Source organism: Homo sapiens, chromosome 3 (assembly GCF_000001405.40).
Source record: "Homo sapiens chromosome 3, GRCh38.p14 Primary Assembly".
In the NCBI taxonomy this organism is placed as follows: Eukaryota; Metazoa; Chordata; class Mammalia; order Primates; family Hominidae; genus Homo; species Homo sapiens.
In genome coordinates this window covers 119,422,463-119,444,354 of record NC_000003.12, presented here as the reverse complement: position 1 = coordinate 119,444,354, position 21,892 = coordinate 119,422,463, and the positions used below count along the sequence as shown (strand labels likewise).

Here is a 21,892-nt window from a genome sequence, read left to right as displayed (position 1 = left end):
TATTTATAGATTAATATTTCAGCCATTTGAGTTGAAAATAAATTTTTAGTCATTCTCCTTACTGGTTGAATCAGAAGATTAACCGTGTCTGATTTGAACGGCTAATTATGGGTATATTGAAGAATATTTTGGCCAAGTTTAAGAGGATTACTATTATCAGGATGGCTAGCAAACTTTTCTGTTTCAATTTAAGTATATAAAGAAACTTACTCTTAGAGGCTCTCCACACCCCTTAAAACAATGAAATAATTATGTAATTTAAATACATTTTAGTTTTAAACATACAGGCATACCTCAGAGATGTTGTAAGTTCTGTTCCAGACTGCTGCAATAAAGCGAATATCACAATAAACGAGTCATGTCAATTTTTTGATTTCCTAGTGCATATGAAAGTTATGTGTACACTATACTGTAGTCTATTTTATTTTATTTTATTTTATTTTATTTTTTGAGACAAGGTCTTGCTGTGTTGCCCAGGCTGGAGTGCAGTGGTGCAATCACAGCTCACTGCAGCCTTGCCCTCCTAGGATTGCTCAAGCAATCCTAGGGGACTGGGACTGTAGCCGTGTGCCACCATGCCTGGCTAATTTTTAAATTTTTTTGTAGAGATCGGGTCTCGTTTTGTTGCCCAGGCTGGTCTTGAACTCCTGGGCTCAAGTGATCCTCTTGCCTTGGCCTCCCAAAGTGCTGGGGTTACAGAGGGGAGCCACCATGCCCAGCCTTATACTATCTGTATTCTATTAAGTACATAATAGCATTATGTCTTTTAAAAGTACATATCTTAATTAAAAAATACTTGATTGCTAAAGTATGCAGATGAGCATTTGAGCCTTCAGTGAGTTGTAATCTTGCTGGTGGAGAGTCTTGCCTCAATGTTGATGGCTGCTGACTGATCAGGGTGGTGGTTGCTGAAGGTTGGGATGGCTTTGTCACTTTCTTAAAATAAGACAACAGTGAAGTTGGCCACATCAGTTGACACTTCCTTTCATGAAACATATCTCTGTAGCATGTGATGTGTTTGATAGATAATATTTTACCCACAGTGGAACTTCTTTCAACATTGAAGTCATTTCTCTCAAACCCTATTGCTGCTGTAACAACTAAGTTTATATAATATTCTAAACTCTTTGTCATTTCAACAGTGTTCTCAGCATCTTTACCAGAAATAGATTTTATGTCAAGAAACAACTTTCTTATCCATAAGAAGCAGCTCCTTATCCGTTTAAGTTTGATTGTGAGAGAGTGCAGCCACATCTTCAGGCTTCACTTTTTTTTTTTTTTTTTTTTTTTTGAGACAGGGTCTCACTGTCGCCCAGGTTGGAGTGCAGTGGTATAATCATGGCTCACTGCAACATCTGTCTCCTGGGCTCAAGTGATCCTCCCACCTCAGCCTCTCAAGTAGCTGGGACTACAGGTGTGTGCCACCACACCCGGCTAATTTTTGTATTTTGTTTTTTTGTAGAGGTGGGGTTTTGCTATGTTGCCTAGGCTGGTGTCGAACTCCTAGGCTCAAGTGATCCAGCCTCCTTGGCTTCCCAAAGTGCTGGGATTAGAGGCATGAGCCACTGCACCTAGTCCAGGCTCCACTTCTAATTCTAGTTCTGTTGCTTTTTCTTCCACATTTGCGGTTACTTTCTCCAGTGAAGTCTTGAACCTCTCAAAGTCATCCATGAGGGTAGGAATCAACTTCCTCCACATTTGCTCGTGTTGATATTTTGACCTCCTCTCATAAATCACAAATGTTCTCAATGGCATTTAGCATGGTGAATTGTTTCCAGATGGTTTTCAGTTTACTTTGCCCAGATCCATTGGAGGAATCTCTATTTAATGCAGAAATAGCCTTACAAAACGTATTTCTTAAATAATAAGATTTGAAAATCAGAATTACTTCTTGATTCATGGCTGCAGAATGGATGCTATCTTAACAGGCATAAAAACAACAATCTCCATCAGAGCCTTTGGTGACTAGGTACACTGTCAATGAGCAGTAAGTACTTTTTTTTTTTTTTTTTGAGATGGAGTCTTTCTCTGTTGCCCAGGCTGGAATGCAGTGGTGTGATCTCAGCTCACTGCAACCTCTGCCTCCCAGGTTCAAGTGATTGTCCTGCCTCAGCCTCCCAAGTAGCTGGGACTACAGGTGCATGCCACCATGCCTGGCTAATTTCTTTGGATTTTTAGTAGAGTCGGGGTTTCGCTATGTTGGCCATGCTGGTGTCGAACTCCTGACCTCAGGTGCTCCGCCTGCCTCAGCCTCCCAAAGTGCTGGGATTACAGGCGTGAGCCACCGCACCCAGCCGTACATAATATTTTTAAAGGAATCTTTTTTCTAAACCGTAGGTTCAACAGTGAGCTTATTCAGTAAACCATGCTGTAAACAGATGTACTGTCATCCAAATATGTTGTTCTATTTCTAGAGCATTGGCAGAGTAGATTTTGCATAATTCTTAAGGATGGTAGGATTTTTGGAATGGTAAATAAGCATTGGCTTCCACTTAAAGTTACCAGCTGCGTTAGCCACTAACAAGAGAGTCAGCTTATCCTTTGAAGCTTTGAAGCCAGGCATTGACTTCTCCTCTCTAGGTATGGAAGTCTAGATGGCATCTTCTTCCAATACAGTATAAGGCTGTTTTGTCACCCTTGAAAAGTCTGTTAGTTTAGTCACCTTCATCAGTGATCTTAGCTAGGTCTTCTGGATAACTTGCTACAGTTTGTAGATTCACACTTGCTGTTTCACATTGTGCTTTTATGTTATGGGACAGCTTCTTTCCTTAAACCTCACGAACTAACCGCTGTTAACCTTCATACGTTTCTTCTGTAGCTTTCTCACCTCTCTGGAGGTTCATAGACTTAAAAAGAGTTAGGGCTTTGCTCTGGATTAGGCTTTGGTTTAGGGCAATGTCGTGGCTGGTCGATCCAGACCATATCAGCAAAACTTTCTCCATATCAGCAGTGAGGCTGTTTTCTTTGTTACCATTTGTATGTTCACTGGAGTAGCACTTTTAATTTCCTTGAATAACTTTTTCTTTGCATTTACAATTCGGCTAGCTAATACAAGAGGCCCAGCTTTCAGCTTGTCTGGGCTTTTGACATGTTTTCTCACTAAGCTTAATATCCACTTTTTGATTTAAAGTGAGAGATGTGTGATGTCCTTTCACTTGAACACTCGGAGGCCATTTAGGGTTATTAGTTGGCCTTATTTCAATATTCTTGTGTTTTAGGGAATAGGGAGGTCTGACGTGAGGGAGAGAGATGGGGGAATGGCTCATTGATGGAACAATGAGAACAAACATTTATCCATTAAGTTTGCTGTCTCATATGGTGCAGTTTGTAGTGCCCCAAAACAATTACAGTAGTAATATCAAAGATCACATTTCGCATAACAGATGTAATAGTAATGAAAAAGTTTGAAATATTGGGAGAATTACCAAAATATGGCAGAGACACAAAGTGAGCACTTTGGAAAATGGCACCCCCAGATACGCTTGATGCAGGGTTGCCACAAACCTTCAGTTTGTAATAAATACAGTATCTGGGAAGCACAATGAAGTGAAATGCAATAAAATGAGGTATGCCTGTATTTGCCTTCGTTACTTTTAAGAAGTTGTATAATCCACCTTTTATCTAAACTTCAATTTAAAAATCAAAAGTGCGAGAAATTTAAAATACTAGATTATGACAATAGCAACATGTTTAATTTCCTGTTTATTCATAGGTTAAACTAAGAAAGAGGCCCTTTTCTGCCTCTTTTTCTTACCCCTCAGTTCTCAAATAGCTTCTCATTAGGGTGAATTAGTCTAAAGTCTAACAGTTGTGGTTCCTAAGTGTATCTTGAATTGGTCCAATGCTCTCCATAGTTTTTACTATTGCATTATCAACCTTCATCTGGTCTTCTGATAATCCATTCTTGTTCCCCTCCATTTCATTTTTATTGTAGCTAGAATGATTTTCACAATGGGAAATTTAATCATGTTACTAACCCTCTTTAAAATCCTTTAATGAATTATTTTCTTTACCTCACAAAGCCCTCCATTGTAGAGCCCAGTATGGGGATAGGGCAGGTCGCCTCACCCATAGAATGAGGGCCATGCAGTTATGTGGCAGTGAGACTACAAAGGAGGGTAAAGAATTGGGGCCATCATTACAATCTACCACACACTCCAGCCTCTTATCCCCACCTCTACACCTACACATGCAGCTTGTGTTTTGGCAGCATTGAACTTCTGATGACCTGCTCTAGCCATCACAGATATGCACATGTGAGAGATTTTTGTCTAATACTTCTTCTCTGTCTGGGTGCGGTGGCTTACACCTGTAATCCCACCACTTTGCAAGGCCCAGGCGGTAGGATCACTTGAGCTCAGGAGTTCAAGACCAGCCTGAGCAACATAGGGAGACCCTGTTTCTACCAAAAATAAAATAATTAGCCGCGTGTAATGGCATGCGCCTGTAGTCCTAGCTACTTAGGAGGCTGAGGCGGGAGAATTGCGTGAGCCCAAGAAGTTGAGGCTTCAGTGAGCCGTAATCTCGCTACTGTACTCCAGTCTGGGTGACAGAGTAAGACCTTGTCTCAAAAAAAAAAAAATTAGAATTAATACTTCTACTTCTACCCACTCTTGTCCTCCCAAGGGCACATTCACAGTAGATCCCAGAGCTAATGCTAAGAATGTTCTTAATTAGTAACATCAGTTCTCCCTCTGTAGAAAACTATGGATAAGTGTCATCTGTTCATTTTGTTATAAAATGTATAACTAAATATCTTTTTTTTTTTTTTTTTTGAGAAGGAGTTTCACTCTTGTTGCCCAGGGTGGAGTGCAATGTGCAGTCTCGGCTCACTGCAACCTCCACCTCCAGGGTTCAAGTGATTCTCCTGCCTCAGCCTCCGAGTAGCTGGGATTGCAGGTGCGCGCCACCACACCCAGCTAATTTTTGTATTATTAGTAGAGACAGAGTTTTACCATGTTGACCAGGCTGGTCTTGAACTCCTGACCTCAGGTGACCTGCTCGCCTTGGCCTCCCAAAGTGCTGGGATTATAGGCATGAGGGACTGTCCCTGGCCCTAAATATCTTTTTATTTGCTATTTTTCATATCTGAATTTATGTGCATGAAATGACCATTTAATTTATAATACCTAGGTCACAATGTGGAAATTACTTAATGAGGACTTGAAGTATTTAAACAAATTTTAAGGAACCAACAGTTGGAATACTATAAGAAGTTATCAGAAGTCTCAAAAATGTTCACTTCTTTAACCAATTAATTTTACTGGTAGAAATTCATTTGTACTTCCAGAATTTTTTTTTATTAATGAGAAGTTTATTGCATACTTAAACAGTGTTACAGCCACTATCTGAGGTACCAGAGTTACAGCAGTGAATTAATTACGTTGAAATCTCTGGTTCATAGAGCTTAAATTGTAGTGAAGGGAAGATTGACTAAGAAAGAAAACAAACAAAACTACCCCCAAAGTTAAAAATCGAATAAACATGGTAAGATCTGTGGAGAAAAATAAGCAGGAAAGGAGAAGAAGGGTCGCCTGTGGGAGTGGGATGGGTGATACAGTAGGGAGGCAGGAGGGCCCCCTACTAAGAAAGGGACATTTGAAGTAAAGAACAAGCTGTACTAAAATGACCAAACGTACACACGTATTGGGAAAATCCTTATCACATTGTTATTTATAGTAGTGGAAAATAAGAAACAGCCTGTTTCCAACAAGAGAGAAATGGGTAAATTATGGTATTTCTATATGAGAATACTATTGTATCTTTAAAAATTTCTATAGAAAAATATTTAGACTTGAGAAAATACTCACTACACAGGGAAAATACTCAATATACACACATGCACACATACAAAGTTTAAACAGCAGGATACAAAACACATGGTACTGTATGAAGCCAAACACAAAAGGAAAAAAGCATATGTAACTATAATACAAAGTTTACAAACTTTATATTGGAAATATGTGCATCTAGTTATAAAAATGATTATTGCTAAGTGATGTGTGTTTTGCCATTGTGGTTTTTCTGTAGGTTCTTAATAATCTACAATGAATGTGCACTGCTCTTATGGAAAGAAATTGAAGAGCTCCCCAGATAATGAATTTACTATCAGCAATGTCCCTCTTGAGTTATGTTTACTCCTGCGGGTCCTGACTATTTTATTGACCTAAGTTATAAGTTATATTGACGTAAGTTATAAGGTGTGATTTTAGGTGGTATCTGTGGTCTCATTTTCACACTTTGTTTTACAGGTTTGGTGTTTATGTTCCTCTTTGCTGTTTTCATCAAGATAGTAGAGCACATCTTCTTCTCACAGACTACAACTATGTGGTTCAGCACGAGGCAGTAGAGGAAAGTGCCTCGACTGTGGGAGGCTTGGCCAAATCCAAAGACTTTCTCTCCTTGTTGCTGGAGTCGCTAAAAGAACAGTTTAATAATGCCACACCCATCCCCACCCACAGTTGTCCCCTATCTCCAGACCTCATTCGCAATGAAGTAGAATGTCTGAAAGCAGATTTCAACCACAGAATCAAGGAGGTTCTCTTCAACTCCCTCTTCAGTGCCTACTATGTTGCATTTCTCCCCCTGTGTTTTGTGAAGGTAAGTGGTTATCTTACTTTTATGTGCTTCCTGGATTTGTGTGTGAATTACATAAACTGGGTATTTCTTGTTTAATCCCCCTTTTCTCTGTCTCCCCTTTGGCAGCCTGGATGGTGGAGTTCGGCTGCATCTGGAGTGCACTAATACCGCTCCTGGTTGGCGGATAGGTATTTCCATATATGTGATGCACCCGTGGTGGTTCCCTCTTTTTTTCTTTTTTTTTTTTTTTTTAAGTATTTTTAGTTTCTGGGGAGAATCAAAATGTACTTATAATAGAATCAGTATGTAGTAGCTTAAGAGGACCAAGGTTTCAGTAAAACTCAGCCTACTGTGGTTGATCTTAACATGGTTATCAGGAGTTTCCTTGAATTTAATCTAGCCCTTATCTAAACTTCAGTTTACTTTAATAGAAAAGAAAAATGGTCTGGATGTCACTTGGGCCCAAAATCTTTTGGTACATTTTAGTGCCCTTTCTTCACCCATTCAGAAGTACTTCTGCAGCTGGAATGGTCCTTCAGAGAACACTCAGTTCTTCTAGAAAGGAGACACTTAAAATATAATTGCCTCTCCCTCCCATCCCTAACTCATACAGCCAGAAAGTCAGGTTGAAGGATTGTGGAGGACTCTGCTCTTGAACTTTTCTGCACGGACAGCAGGACCACCAGTGCATGTGTGACTCAGTGTGGCATTTGTCTGCAGGGCATATGTACACCAACCCATCCCTGCCTCTTTTTACCAGTGCATGGATCATTTCTCTCTCTTCTGATCTCTTCCAGAGTACCCAGTACTATGACATGCGCTGGTCATGTGAGCACCTCATTATGGTGTGGATCAATGCTTTTGTCATGCTCACCACGCAACTGTTGCCATCCAAATACTGTGATTTGCTACATAAATCAGCTGCTCACCTGGGCAAGTGGCAGAAGTTGGAACATGGGTCCTACAGCAATGCTCCACAGCACATGTGAGTAAGCTAGAGGGTAAAACCATGTAACACTTTCTACATGCTGCTGATCATGTTTATTTGCTTTGTATGTCATTCTTGTTCTTGGCTTTGAACATTTAATTTTTAGTTTTTGTCTTACATGGATGCTTGTCATCATGCTAAACTGAATACAAGGGACATTAACTCATTTCCACCACCACCCCAGCTCCTTAAATGCGTTCTACCTTTCAGCTGCCCAGTCACTCTAGTGTGTGTAATTTGTCTCCCAAGCAATGCACTTGGCGTTCTCTTTCAATCTTACCCCTTTGCCCGAATTCAAAGAGTCATATATTTTATTTCTTTTTAGAAGACTTTAAGATTTGTCTTCTCATCTTCATTGCCACAGCTGAGTAGTTGCTAGCTATTCATCTCACACTTAGCTGGAATATGATTCTCTCATTTTTTCTTTCTAATACATGCAGTTTTGTTCTAGTAATTTTCCTTACCTGTACTTTTTTACTATTATTTTCTTTCTAAACTCTCTACTGAATATTTCCCTGCTTCTCCTGTGTTTAAGTGAGAACTGTGCCTGACTGAGTTCTTTGGAAGAATTTTTCTCATTGTGTCCCCCTTATCAGTCATTACTCCACATGGCTCCTATGATCCAAAATGGCTAACATTAGGACCGTTTTATTCTGTCACTTCTGAGTCCTTCATCATACTTTTCTTTCAGACCCAAACCATCTTCATCTTCCCCCTTTTGTAATTTGAACATTTCACAAATTTCATCTAGAAATTTTTCCCTAGTTAAGTGGGACAGATTGAGGTGACCTTCCCTTTCCCTCTCCCCCTGAGAGTTCTCCCTTCAATTATCTGCCTTGATGTCTGATACAGATTAGCACAGGCCTTCAAGCCCAGGAACTGAAAGAGATTGGGCCAGGCTGAAAAGAAACCCGACTGTGGGCAAAGGACAGATTTCAATAAAAATTGAAAATACAATCCACAGTACTAGTACTGTACATCTTCAGGCTACTGATGGCACATGGCCATGAGGTGTATCATCACTTTAATGCTGGTAAGTGTGAGCAAGGCCGGTGGAACATTTTCTGAACTGGGAAAGCTTTAGGGTGCTAGAATTTTTTTTTTTTTTTTTAATAACATATCTAAACTGCCTCCCAGTTCTTATCCTAGGAAACTAACCTTTCCAAAATCAGGAAGAGATGAATTAACTTAGATTTTTTTTTTTTTTTTTAAAAAGCTTAACCTGAAGATCCCTGTCCCCACCCAAACTCCATTATGCTGGAAAGAATGAAGCTGCTGCTTCTGTAACTTCTTTTCCCCCAGAGAAACCTCTATAAAAATAAACCATGAAAGCAGTGAAAAGTCTGTGTGTGTGTGTGAGATGTATCGCTGTGTTCTACTGTATATCTTCTTACAGTTGTGAGGTATTTGAATTGTGTGATAAGCAAACTGATTTCCTATAGTTTTTTGGGATGTAATTCTGCAGTAAATGTCATGCTAGATTGACAATGTGCTAATTTCTCCACTATTCTTATTACCATCAGCTTTCTCTTCTTGTTTGTTCCCTCTAGCATTTCCACCAGTAGACTCTGCTCACTTGGGATGGAGATGACAGTCACCCTGCTTACACACTGTTTTCTGGCTTACACATTTATGTCTGCTCATTCTTCTAAGCCTCTTAAGTCCTTTGACACTGAGTTAACTATATTTCTTTGCAACCTCTGTTTACTATATAGCAATGAAGTTAAAGTAACAAATCCTTTCTAAAACTACTCCAGTTTGACCATGGAATTACTGTATTTTCAGAATTCAGGCAGATGAAGCCTTGATTATTTAATTCCTTCCATAAAAATACAGCTGGCCTTGCCAGATGCTATCTTATCTGTAATTGCCAATATGCTAACATTGCATTTCTTTCTCCCTTAGTTGGTCAGAAAATACAATATGGCCTCAAGGGGTGCTGGTGCGGCACAGCAGATGTTTATATAGAGCCATGGGGCCTTACAACGTGGCAGTGCCTTCAGATGTATCTCATGCCCGCTTTTATGCAAGTACCGCTTATTTATTTTCAAACATAAGCTTAGGGGTAAGTGTTAGGAGGCCACTCTATGTGGAAGCATGTAGCATAGCATGTAGCACATACTAGGAAATTATTACATGGTAATTATTGCTACTAGCGTAACAGTGGTCCCTGTACTTTGGAAATGTCTTTTGAAGGGCAGTTTGAAGATCATATACTGTTATTCCAGTTTCAGTAGCTTAGCTGGTTTCTCTAGTTACATTGGTATTTGTCGAATCTAGTATTACTTGAAACAAGCAGGCAGTTATCTAAGACTCCTTTTTCATCTTACCATTTTTGTTTTGTAAGAGTTTGGTTTAGTGGTATTGTTAAGATATATTGTATCTGTGTATCCATAGTGACATTTAATATATTAATAGTGCGGTGGTTTTATTTTTAGGTATTTGTCATATATATTGTTTCTTTACAAAGGCTTTAGCTTCCCCTTTGGAAGTCAGACAAATGCCATGAAAAGGAAAAAAGCTTAAAAGTTAAAAAAGGAAAAAGCAATAGAAACCCACTACATTCCATTGAACTCATGCCTTCGGTTATGATCTATTTGGTCTTTCAGCCTTCCAGAAATTGTCTGTACAAGGCAAAAGTATATACTTATAAAAGAAAGGCCAGCTGACTAATGCAAGTGGGGAAAAGTAGGTGCCTGCAGGGGACTGTTTATAGTAAAAATGCCTATAGTGCAGTGCATTGCTTTTGAAAGGGGATCATATTCTAAACAAGAATTGGAGATCTTTTTTAAGATACTTGCATCTCTTTCTCCCTCTGTCCTTCTCAGTTCCTGTGAGGGTATATGGACTTTCTGGTTCTGCAGGTGTTTGTTATTGAGGGACACTTCAATTAAGTTTTGGGAACTTGCCCCTGGGCATGATGCTTATAAATACCATGGTAGGGGAATGCAGGGTGGGGCAGATTGGGAGGAACATGGGGAAGGTGGAAAGCCCTTGAGTGAGAAAACGACAAGCATCTCCTTCTTGACGCCAGTGGAAATGCCTTAAGGTGGAGGAAAGGACTTAAGTCACAAGTACATGAGCACTTGATTTCTATATAGAATATTTAATTCAGCCAGCTGAATTCTCTAGGCCATTAATGACTTCTGTTGGTCCTTGCTGTCTCCTTGAGACCTGTGATAGCGAAATAGTTCATTAGAATTTTCTGCTTGAAAATTAAGTAGTTTCCTTGCTAGCTTTGGACAGCTGAAAAATCGGGTGGAATCTATGGAAAAAAGATTAGGCAAGTTGATTTATTACTGATTTTGCAGGACTGGATAGACAGTTAAATCAGTGCTTCTCCAAGTGATCCATGGGCCACCTGCTGATAAATCACCTGGCCCACTATTTTTAAAAAGTGATTCAGGGCCCCTATATCAGACTTCTGAACCAGAATCTCTGGATGATCCCAGGAATTGGCAGCATTTGTGGATTTGGAAATGATTCTTAGGCACACTGAAGTTTCAAAACAGTCATTTAAAGTGTGCCTATTACCTATAGCTGTCAAACTCCAGGTTAAACATTTTCTTCCTCTTGAACCTGGAAACTTTTTAAAGCTGTCATGATAATTTGGCTTCATTCTGAGGTGTAAGCTCTTAAGATCTAAATTCCATCTAAATTAGTTATTTTAGATCTGATCACTGCTGTTACTGCACTCTTGTCTTCATCTAGATTTAGGATTAGACTGGTTAAGCTGAATTGTTAATGTTCTTTTACAACTTGTGGCCTATATGTTTGTATTCATAATAACTTTGTATTAGAAAACCAGAATTTAGCCTTTTAAAGTGGAGAATTTAGTGGGAGTAAATATAGTAGTAATCCCTATTTTTAGTCTAATTCTGACTCATTTTTCCTTCCTTCCTCCTTATCCTGTCTTTGTGCACCCTGCTTCTCAATATCCAGAAAAAAATCAGTAATTAAACACACAGGTATATGGTGTAGAGGATTTCAGTCAGTGACCATGGTGGGTAAACAGTTTAAGGAAAAACTAAGAAACTATTGTATTCATATTTGACTTGTAACCTCTCTTTTCCCCAAACTTGTCTAGTGTTGGTATTTATGTCTTAGTTTACAAGCCAAGAATGTTTTTTACATTTTTAAATGGTTACATAAGTACCTATGTAATATCCTTAATTTTTGCCTCTTGACTTACAAAGCCTAAAATATTTCCTGTTTGGTCCTTTATCCACCTCTGTCTTAGATGAATATACTTTTGTGTTTATCCTAAATAAAATATATACCTAAAATATAATCTAAGAAAAATGTTTATAAGTAGTTTTCTTTTGGGCATAATCTCTTTTCGTGTCTCAGGGGCATTGAAATAAAAATTATTTCATTATTTCTTGAGCAAAAAGGAAAAGGTTTCAATCTTTATAGCAAGAAATAGCCTGATTGATATTAAATAAACAGATCTATTTATTATTATATATGGGAACCTGTAAATGTTAAATTATTTTAGAAAAATCAATGCAAGAATAACTGTAGCCATTACTTTTCTATGAAATAATGTTTTACTTTTTTAACTTCCTTACAGTTCTTATTTCATCGACCATTAAGGCTGTTAAATCTGCTCATCCTTATTGAGGGCAGTGTCGTCTTCTATCAGCTCTATTCCTTGCTGCGGTCGGAGAAGTGGAACCACACACTTTCCATGGCTCTCATCCTCTTCTGCAACTACTATGTTTTATTTAAACTTCTCCGGGACAGAATAGTATTAGGCAGGGCATACTCCTACCCACTCAACAGTTATGAACTCAAGGCAAACTAAGCTGCCTCTCAACAATGAGGGAGAACTCAGATAAAAATATTTTCATACGTTCTATTTTTTTCTTGTGATTTTTATAAATATTTAAGATATTTTATATTTTGTATACTATTATGTTTTGAAAGTCGGGAAGAGTAAGGGATATTAAATGTATCCGTAAACAAGGTGATGTGATCTTTCATGTGTTAGTATATTCGAATAATATACATATGAGAGGTATGCCTGTCCAGTAAAGAGATTGATTTGTTTGTATGGCTCTGGAATAACTCATTCGTTTATGAACACATCTCATGTATTACTTGACACAGTACCTTTGGTATGTCTGCTTTTCTTTCAATCCTCATTATCTTTAGCCCTCAGCTGGCCAGTACTTATTGCTAAAGAAAGGGAGATCAATGGAGTTGCCTACCAGCACCCATTCTCTTTTAGTTCAGCTGGCTAATAGTATTGGAATACATTGGGAAAAGAGTGGGTTAAAGTCCTAGGTGGGGTTCTCTTTGTTGCCTACCAGGAGAAAGCAGTAGGCTTCCTTTCTAAGATACGGACTCAGCTGGTCTATTTTACCCTGTGACATTTAAATATACTTTTGAATAAGCTACTATCCTGAGGCTGAGGGTTTTGCTGCCACTTTTCCTGTGTTTCCACTTCTGCTTCCAAAGATTTTCCTCTTAGTTGTTTGAAATAATACTTTGCCAGACAGGAAGTCTTTAGACTGCCCACATTCATGAAGAAGATGATGTGTGGCTGGATCAGTAGGAGAAGCTGAGTGCAAATGCCATGTGGGCTAGAGTATGGGAAGGTTGAAAATTCCAAGTAACTGGGAGAGTGGGCAAGTCCTCAGCTGAACAATCTTGGATGTAGTCTAGCAGCAACCCACCTACAATGGCGTTATGTTTGGAGTTATGAGGGGAAGTGAAAGATAAGAATTACCTACAGCTTTGTACTCAGATAATTTATATCCAAAATTTGTGTTTTAAATTTCATACTCCAGAACTTTCATGTTTATGAGTATTAGCCTTTTAAGTTATGGGAGGTGATATACTTAGTCCATTGATGTTGTCACTTGTCATCTAAACTTATGAGACCTTGTCTTAGAGAATCTAAAATATATTGTCATATGTTTTCTGTGCTGAGTTTGGTTTGTTACACTGTGAAGCTTTTGGTGAAACAAAATAAGACTTATGAAGTAAAAAGACCAATCATGTCGTTGACAAGCTGGCTCTGAAAATAATTCTTGCAGAAGAGTTCCTGAAAGGCTTCACCAAGGGGAAGTATTGTGAGGAGTGTTTGTAAAACCAAGGTACCCAATATCAGTTTTATGTTTAAATCAATAATTGTTTCTTTAAATATTTTGATGTGTATACTTTTTTTTTAAGTTAACATTATTTGGCATTCAGTCTGAGTCTGTTCAACCATTCAACAAATATATATTAACCAGTAGGCACTATATTAGGCCCTGGGGATATAGCAGTGAATGAGAAATGCAAAGGTCCTACTTGCACAGAGCTTACAATATGCGTGGGGGTGGGGGAGTTAGGTGGTGCAGAAAATACAGCAAATAAATTTATGTGTAATATAACATTCCCTGGTAGTAGTGATAAGTGTAGCAAAGGGAAATCAGGACAAGGAAATAGTGGTAAGAATAGCACTGCTAGAAGGCATCTTTGAGGAGATGATTTTTAAGCAAAGAAAAAGCAAGACTGAATCATATAAATAGCTTTGGGGAGAATTCCATGTTACAGTAGCAGAAAGGGCAGTGCCCTGAGGTGGGGACAAGTTGGTATATTGGAAGAATAGCAAGAAAATATATTAGGTTAGTTGCTTTTTAAAGTAGTTCAGCCTAAATATAGTGGTTCTTGAGGTAGGGGTGGGAAGGGTAGGGAATCTGCCATCTTTCTATTCTTTCTGTAGGATCTTGAAAATATGCTTCTCTTGGCAGCAACATTTTCATGAGATTACTCAGCAGTTGAGAGCAAAATGGGTGGCATGGGCACAGAGATATCTCATCAAAATTGCCCCAACTTGGCTCCAGCTTGGGAAAGTAACCCAGAAAACCCTGATTAGAGATAACAGACCAGTCTTATGAACTAATATGATGCCCCTTCTGGCTTGATCTGTCTTGGTCCTATCCTAAGGGAATAGCACAGAACCAGATGCTGGCTTGGCTAAATAAGTAAGTGGATATAAGAAATAAATAAAAATTAATTTTGGCTAATGGAATTGCAAAGTTCCTCCTACCCTCACCTCCAGATATGGCAGCATACGGGGCATAAGACCGTTTAGTTCAACGTGTTCTACACATTCCAGCTGTTTTTTGTTTGTTTGTTTTGTTGTTTTGTTTTTGTAGGGGCCACGTTCATGGAAGAGAGAAAAATTACTAGTTACCCGGATATCCTATTATAGTTCATGTAACAGAAGGGACACTATATTTGCTCACTGATAGTAGAAAAATGTGTAATCATTAAAGAATGACCTTTTTTGTAATTCTTTGTTGGCAAGTTAAAATTGTTTGTGGAAAGCATGGTATAGCAAAAGTTCAGTTGGGTGAACTGGGATACTGGAAAAGGAAAGAAGATACTTGACTAGTCTGGGTGGTCTAAGGTGGGTAAATAAAGGAGTAGAGGAGGGTAGTTCACAGGAATGAGCATGACAGAAGTTTTCCTCAATATCCTGTTTACTCTGATTCCATGTTTATATTCCTAATCCTCCTTTCCTTCCTGTCCCTATCAGTCACCACCACTGCCACCTGTTGTGCCGTTTCTCTCTCTTTTTTTTAATTAATTTTTTTATTTCTATTAAGCTAGCCAGGCATCTCATTTCTATGTACTGGGCAATTATATGCCAAACACTGCTGGGTGCCGGAGATAGTGATGTTCGAGTTCATTAACTAATAGAAGACAGACAAGTAAACCAGTTGTCACACTAGGGTGTTCATTAACAGAAATATGTATGAGATACGTAATAGATATCAGATCTATTAACAATCTTGAGTGTGAAGCCCAATAAAGTGCTCTTTTCATAAGTACTTCAAATAAGCAGACAGATGTCTTGGAACTTTTGTAGACAGAAGACAGCTAATGAAAGATTATAAGCTAAGAATAACTTATGATCCACTGGTTTCTAGTTCCCAAAGTAATCTCTAGATCAGCAGCATCAGCATCACTTAACTGATCAGCTGACCCTTCTGGAATCATAGGATAGACTAAATAGTGAAGGTCTATCCCTTCCCAAGAACACCTGTAACGGCCAGAAGAGGGGGCTGTCTCCTCAAATGCACTGACAACAATACAAGAACATACAGATTATGAAGAATCAGGGAATCATGACACCTACAAAAGAAACTAATAAAGCTCCAATAATAGACCCCAAAGAAATGGAGATTTATGAAATAACTGACAAAGAATTCAGAATAATACCCATAAAGAAGTTCAGTGAACTATTAATATATACAGATAAAAAATTTAATGAAATTTGAAAACAGTACACTAAAAAGAAAGTTGACAAATAGAAACAATAAGAATGGGATAGAAATTCAAGAGACTGAAAAATTCAACAGAAAGCTTCAACAGCTGACTCAGCCAAGAAGAAGAAAGAATCAGTGTGCTGGGAGACAGAACGTTTGAAATTATCTAGCCAGGAGCAAAAAAAACAAAAGAATTTCTAAAATTAAAGCCTACAGATTATGGAACACCATCAAGAGACCAAACCTTCACATAATAGTGGTTGGAGAAGGAGAAAGAGGTGCCTGAAAAGCATATTTAAAGGGGCCAAAAAGCATATTTAAAGAAATAATGGCTGAAAACTTCCTTAATCTGTGGTATATGCCAACATCCAGGTACAAGAACTGCAGAGGTTTCCAATCAAATTCAACCCAAAGAGGAGTACACCACAACACATAATAAACTATCAAAAATCAAAGGCAAAAAATTTTGAGAGCATCAAGAGGCAAGAAACATAACACATAAAAAGGAGTGCCATACAATCATCAGCAGAGTTCTCAGCATAAACCCTCAGGTCAGGAGAGAGTAGGATAAATTCAAAGTGCTCAAGAGAACAACTGCCAACCAACAATACTTTATCCAGCAAAGCTGTCTTTCATAAATGAGGGAGAAGTAAAAAAAAAAAAAAAAAAAAAAAGAAAAGAAAAAAGAAAAGTGTGTTTTCCCAGACAAACAAAAGCTAAAGGAATTCATCATCACTGGACCTGCCTTGCAGGAATTGCTAAATGGAGTTATTTAAACTGAAACAAAAAGCTACTAATTAATAACATAAAACATGCACGAAACTCAAACATATAAATAAAGCAGAGCCCATTCAGAATACTATTGGATTGTAATGATGGTGTAAAAGTATAGAGTTATATGCAAAGTTAAGTTGTTATAAGCTTGAAATAGGTGGTTGTAAGTATAAGATGTTCCATGTAAGCCTAATGGTAACCACAAAGCAAAAATCTTCAGAAGCACAAAACAAAAATATCAAAGCATACTACCACAAAGGAATACAGCAAGAGAGGAGGAAAGAAATGAAGTATGTACAAAACAATCAGAAAACAACTAACAAAATGGCAGTAGTAAGTCCTTACCTAGCAACGATTGAATGTCAATGGATTAATTTCTCCAATAAAAAGACATAGAGTGGCTGAATGGATAAAATAAGACCTAATTATATGCTGCCTACAAGAGACTCACCTCACTTTTAGACGTAGACTGAAAGTGAAGGGATAGAAAAGAATACTCCACACAAATGGAAACCAAAAGAGAGTGGGGTGGCTATACTTATATCAGACAACATAGACTTTAAGTTAAAAACTCTGAAAAAAAAATAAAGAAGGACATCATATGATAAAAGGGTCAATTCATCAAGAGGACATAACAATTGTAAATTTATGTGCACTCAATGTTGAAGTACCTAAATATATAGCACAAATATTGAAGGATCTGAAGGGAGAGATAGATTGCAACACAAGAATAGTAGGGGACTTCAGTACCCTATCTCAACAATGGACAGATCATCTAAACAGAATTAATAAGGAAGCATTAGACTCTAGCAACACTGAACCAAACGGACATAACAGACATATACAGAACATTGCATCTAATAGCAACAGAATACACACTCTCAAGTGCACACAGAGCATTCAGCAGAATAGATCACATGTTAGGGCACAAAAAAAGCCTTGGCAAATTTAAGAAGACTGAAATTATATCAAATATCTTTTCCAATCACAATGGTATGAAACGAGAAAAGAATACCAAGAGGAATTTTGGAGAATTCACAAATACATGGAAATTAAACATTCTCCTGAACAACCAATACATCGATGAAGAAATTAAAGGGAAAATTTTAAAGGATCTTGAGACAAAAATGGAAACACAACATATTAAAACTTACGGGATGCAGCAAAAGCAGTTTTAAAAGTAAAGTTTATAGCAATAAATGCCTACGTCAAAAAAGAAGTTCTCAAAAGCTGCTTTTTTGAAAAGATAAAATTGACAAACCTTTAGCTAGACTAAGAAAAAAAGAATAGATCAAATAAATAAAATCACAAATAAAGGACATTACAGCTGATACTCCAGAAATACAAAGGATCATGAAAGACTACTATAAACAAATGCCAACAAATTGGAAAATCTACAATAAATGGATAAAGTCTTAGATGCATGTAATCCCAAGACCAAATAATGAAGAAGTAGAAAAATCTGAACAGACCAATAACAAGTAAGGAGATTGAATCAGTAATAAAAAGTCTGTCATCAAAGAAAAACCCAAGACTTGATGAGTTCACAGCTTAATTCTACCAAACATATAAAGAATACCAATCTTGTTCAAACTCTTCCAAAAAAAAAAAAAAAATTGGGAGAGGAGGGAGTACTTCCAAGCTCTTTTTGGAGGGCAGCATTACCCTAATACTAAAGCCAGACAAGGAAATTACAAGAAAATAAAATTACAGGCCAATATCCATGATGAACATGGAAGCAAAAATCCTCAACAAAATACTAGCAAACTGAATTCAACAACATATTAAAAGGATTATCCACAATGATCAAGTGGAATTTATCCCTGGTATATGAGGATGGTTAACAATATGCAAATCAATACATGTAACATACCACATTAACAGAATGAAGGACAAAATCTATATGATCATCTCATTAGATGAAGAAAAAGCATTTGACAAAATTCAACATCCTTTCATGATAGTAAGTCTCACCGAAATAAGGAATAGAAGGGTTGTACCTCAATACAGTGAAGGCCACATATGAGAAGCCCATAGCTAACATTATACTGAATGATGGAAAATTGAAAGCCTTTCCTCTAAGATCTGGAACAACATAAGGATGCTCACTCTTGCCATTTCTAGATTATACAGTATTGGAAATCTTTGCCTGAGCAATTAGGCAAGAGAAAGAAATAAATAGCACACAAATAGAAAGGAACCAGTGAGATTGTCAGTTTGCTGAAATGACATAATCTTATAGAAAATCCAACAGTCTTCACCGAAAAACCGTTGGAACTAATAAATACAGTAATGTTGCAGGATCCAAAATCGACACACAAAATCAGTAGCATTTCTATACACTAACAACAAACTATCTGAAAACAAATCAAGAGAACAATCCCACTTACAAAGCTACAAAAAGAAATACTTAGGAATAAATTTAACCAAGGACTTGAAAGACCTGTACCAAAAACTATAAAATGTTGGTGAAATAAATTGAAGATGATACAAATAAGTGGAAAGAGTTCTTGTGTTTATGGGGTGGAAGAATCAATATTGTTAAAATGTCCACACTACCCAAAGTAATCTAAAGATTTAGTGCAATCCCTATCAAGATTCTAATGTCATTTTTATAGAAATAGAAAAAATAATCCTAAAATTCATACAAAACCACAAACACCCCCAAATGGCCAAGGCAATCAAGCAAAAAGAACAAGTCTGGAGATGCCACACTACTTGATTTCAAACTGTACTACAAAGCTATAACAAAACAGTACAGTACTGGCAAAAATAGACCCATTGACAAATGGAATAGAATAGGGAGTCCAGAAATGAACCCACACATGTACAATCAGTTGATTTTACAAAGGTTCCAAGAATACCCAATGGGAAAAGAATAGTCTCTCTAATAGGTGGTATTGGGAAAACTGGATATCCACATGCAGAAGAATGAAATTGAACTCTTATCTTACACCATATACAAAAATCAACCTAAAATAGATTAAGAGATGTGAATGTAGGACCTGAAACTATAAAACCACCAACCCCGTCTCTACTAAAAATACCAAAAAAAAAAAAAAAAAAAAAAAAAATTAGCCAGGTGTGGTGGCAGTTGCCTGTAGTCCCAGCTACTCGGGAGGCTGAGGCAGGAGAATGGTGTGAACCCGGGAGGCGGAGCTTGCAGTGAGCCGAGATCGTGTCACTGCGCTCCAGCCTGGGCAACAAAGAGAGACTCCATCTGAAAAAAAAAAAAAAAAAAGAAGAAGAAAACACATGAGGAAAACTACATGACATTGATCTGTGCAATGATTTTTTGGATTTGATCCAAAAAGCACAGGCAACAAAAGCAAAAACAGACAAATGGGATTACATCAAACTAAAAGGATTCTGCACCATAAAGGAAACAATTAACAGTGTTACAATTGGAAACAGTTAACTGCACCACAAAAGGGAACAATTAACAGGAAACAATGAACAGCAGAGACAACCTATAGATGGGGAGAAAATTTCTGCAACTTATACACCCAATAGAGAGTTAATCTCCAAAATATATAAGGAGCTCAAACAACTCAATTGTAAGAAAATAAAAACTGAATTAAAAAATAGGCAAGGGATCAAAATAGACATTTTTCAAGGAAGAACTGCAAATGGCCAAGAGACATATGAAAAATTGCTCAATATTGTTAATAGAGAAGTGCAAATTAAAACTACAACAAGAGATCACTACACTTTTCAGAATGAGTAGGATGGTAGTTACAGAGGCTGGGAAGGTGATGGTCAAAGTGTACAAAGTCTCAGAAGGAATATGGTCTTTTTTTTAGTTCTATTGCACAGCATGGTGAATACAGTTAATAGAGTATTACACATTTCAACATTGCTGAGAATAAATTCCAAATGTTCTCACCACAAAAATTTTAACCAGTTCAATTTAATTAACATTATATTCAGAAATCTTAATATCAGTTTGTACCCCCAATAAAAGTATGCAATTATATACTTTCAATTTCCATGCAAGAAAAAATAGTGGTGAGGTGGGTCACCAGTGTGAGGGTGGTAGAAGCAGCTATGGGCATAAATAAGATAGTGCAGGGAAAGCATATGAAGTGAAAAGGGAAAGAAGGACAGAATTCTGGCAAATAATAGCTTTTAAGGAAACTTGTTTTAGGGAGACAGAGTCTTGTTCTATTGCCCAGGCTCAGGTGATTCTCCTACCTCAGCCTCCTGAGTACCTGGGACTACAGGCATGCGCCACCACGCCCAGCTAATTTTTTGTTTGTTTGTTTGTTTGTTTTTGTTTTTTGTAGAGATGGGGTCTTCCTGAGTTGCCCAGGCTGGTCTTGAATTCCTGGGCTGAAACAATCCTCTTGCCTTGGCCTCCCAAAGTGCTGGGATTGCAGGCATGAGCCACAGTGCCTGGCCAGGAAGAGGAAACTTTTAAGTGAACAAAGCTAAGAAAATGAATGGCCATGGAAGGAGGCAAAGCAGAAAGTTTCAAAAGAGGAATGATCAATAGGATCACATATAACAGGGAAGTCTAGAGACTGAGAAGTGAATGTTGGATTTGGATATTAGACTATTGGTGACGTTAGCAAGAGAAATTTTAGCGGAGCTATGCGGGCCGAGGTCAGGCTGCCATTGGTCCAGAATAGTGAATTGTAATGAAGAAGTAGAAATTGAGCATTGATGACACTGATGACTCTTCCAAGAACCTAGACACAAGGTGATAAAAGTGGACAGAATTGAGGAAGACTTTTGTTTAAGATAGAATAGGCTTTGGCATGTTTATATGCTGAGGGATTAAAGATCAAAGAGGGCAAGGCTCAATACATAGGGAAGAATAGTGGATTACAGGAGACTGGGAACACAGAAGCCTGGGAGCTCTTGGAAAGAGGGGTAACACTTCCTCTGAACTAGAAGGGAGGTTAGGTACACACATATACAGGTAAGGGGAAATAGCAGTGGGAGCTTGAATAAAGATGTCTGATATTATAAACTTATGAAGCAATAACAATTATTTGTGGGGAAGAAAGAGTTGTCTAGGAGAGAGTCAAGAATAGTGGAATAGCCATTGTGGGTTGTGGAATAGCCATTGAAGATTTTGGAAATGAGGCTGCTCTTGGGGTGGTGGACCACAAATATCTAAAAGCTTTTATATTGTGGTTTTATTATTTTCTCTGATCTAACCCATAGACACAGTTAAAGGGCAGAGATGTGTGATAAGAGTCCAGATTCCAGGTTGGAGGTTTGTCAAGCAGGTGTGGCTAAAGGACTAGTGGTTAAGGGAGTTAATGGTCCTGGTGAG

At 37.8% G+C, this 21,892-nt stretch overlaps 1 protein-coding gene across 10 annotated transcripts in view; it reads left to right on the top strand.

Annotated features, from left to right (window-relative positions):
• The window catches only part of TMEM39A (transmembrane protein 39A), a 34,667-nt gene extending 19,261 nt beyond the window's left edge, over nt 1-15,406 (top strand). For 5 of the 10 annotated variants that reach the window (NR_073506.2, XM_047448511.1, XM_006713687.3 and 2 more), the window contains 4 exons: nt 6,252-6,600; nt 7,377-7,564; nt 9,473-9,593; nt 12,141-15,406. Coding sequence is in view for 8 of the 10 variants with exons in the window: in XM_047448511.1 (XP_047304467.1) it covers nt 6,252-6,600; nt 7,377-7,564; nt 9,473-9,593; nt 12,141-12,374 (892 nt within the window). In the remaining 2 variants the exon portion in view is untranslated. Of the gene's footprint in view, nt 1-6,251; nt 6,601-6,705; nt 7,565-8,419; nt 8,601-9,472; nt 9,594-12,140 lie in introns of those variants that run through there. The other 5 variants (XM_047448512.1, XM_047448513.1, XM_005247578.3 and 2 more) reach the window with 3 other exon arrangements.
• The last annotated feature ends 6,486 nt before the right edge of the window (nt 15,407-21,892 follow it).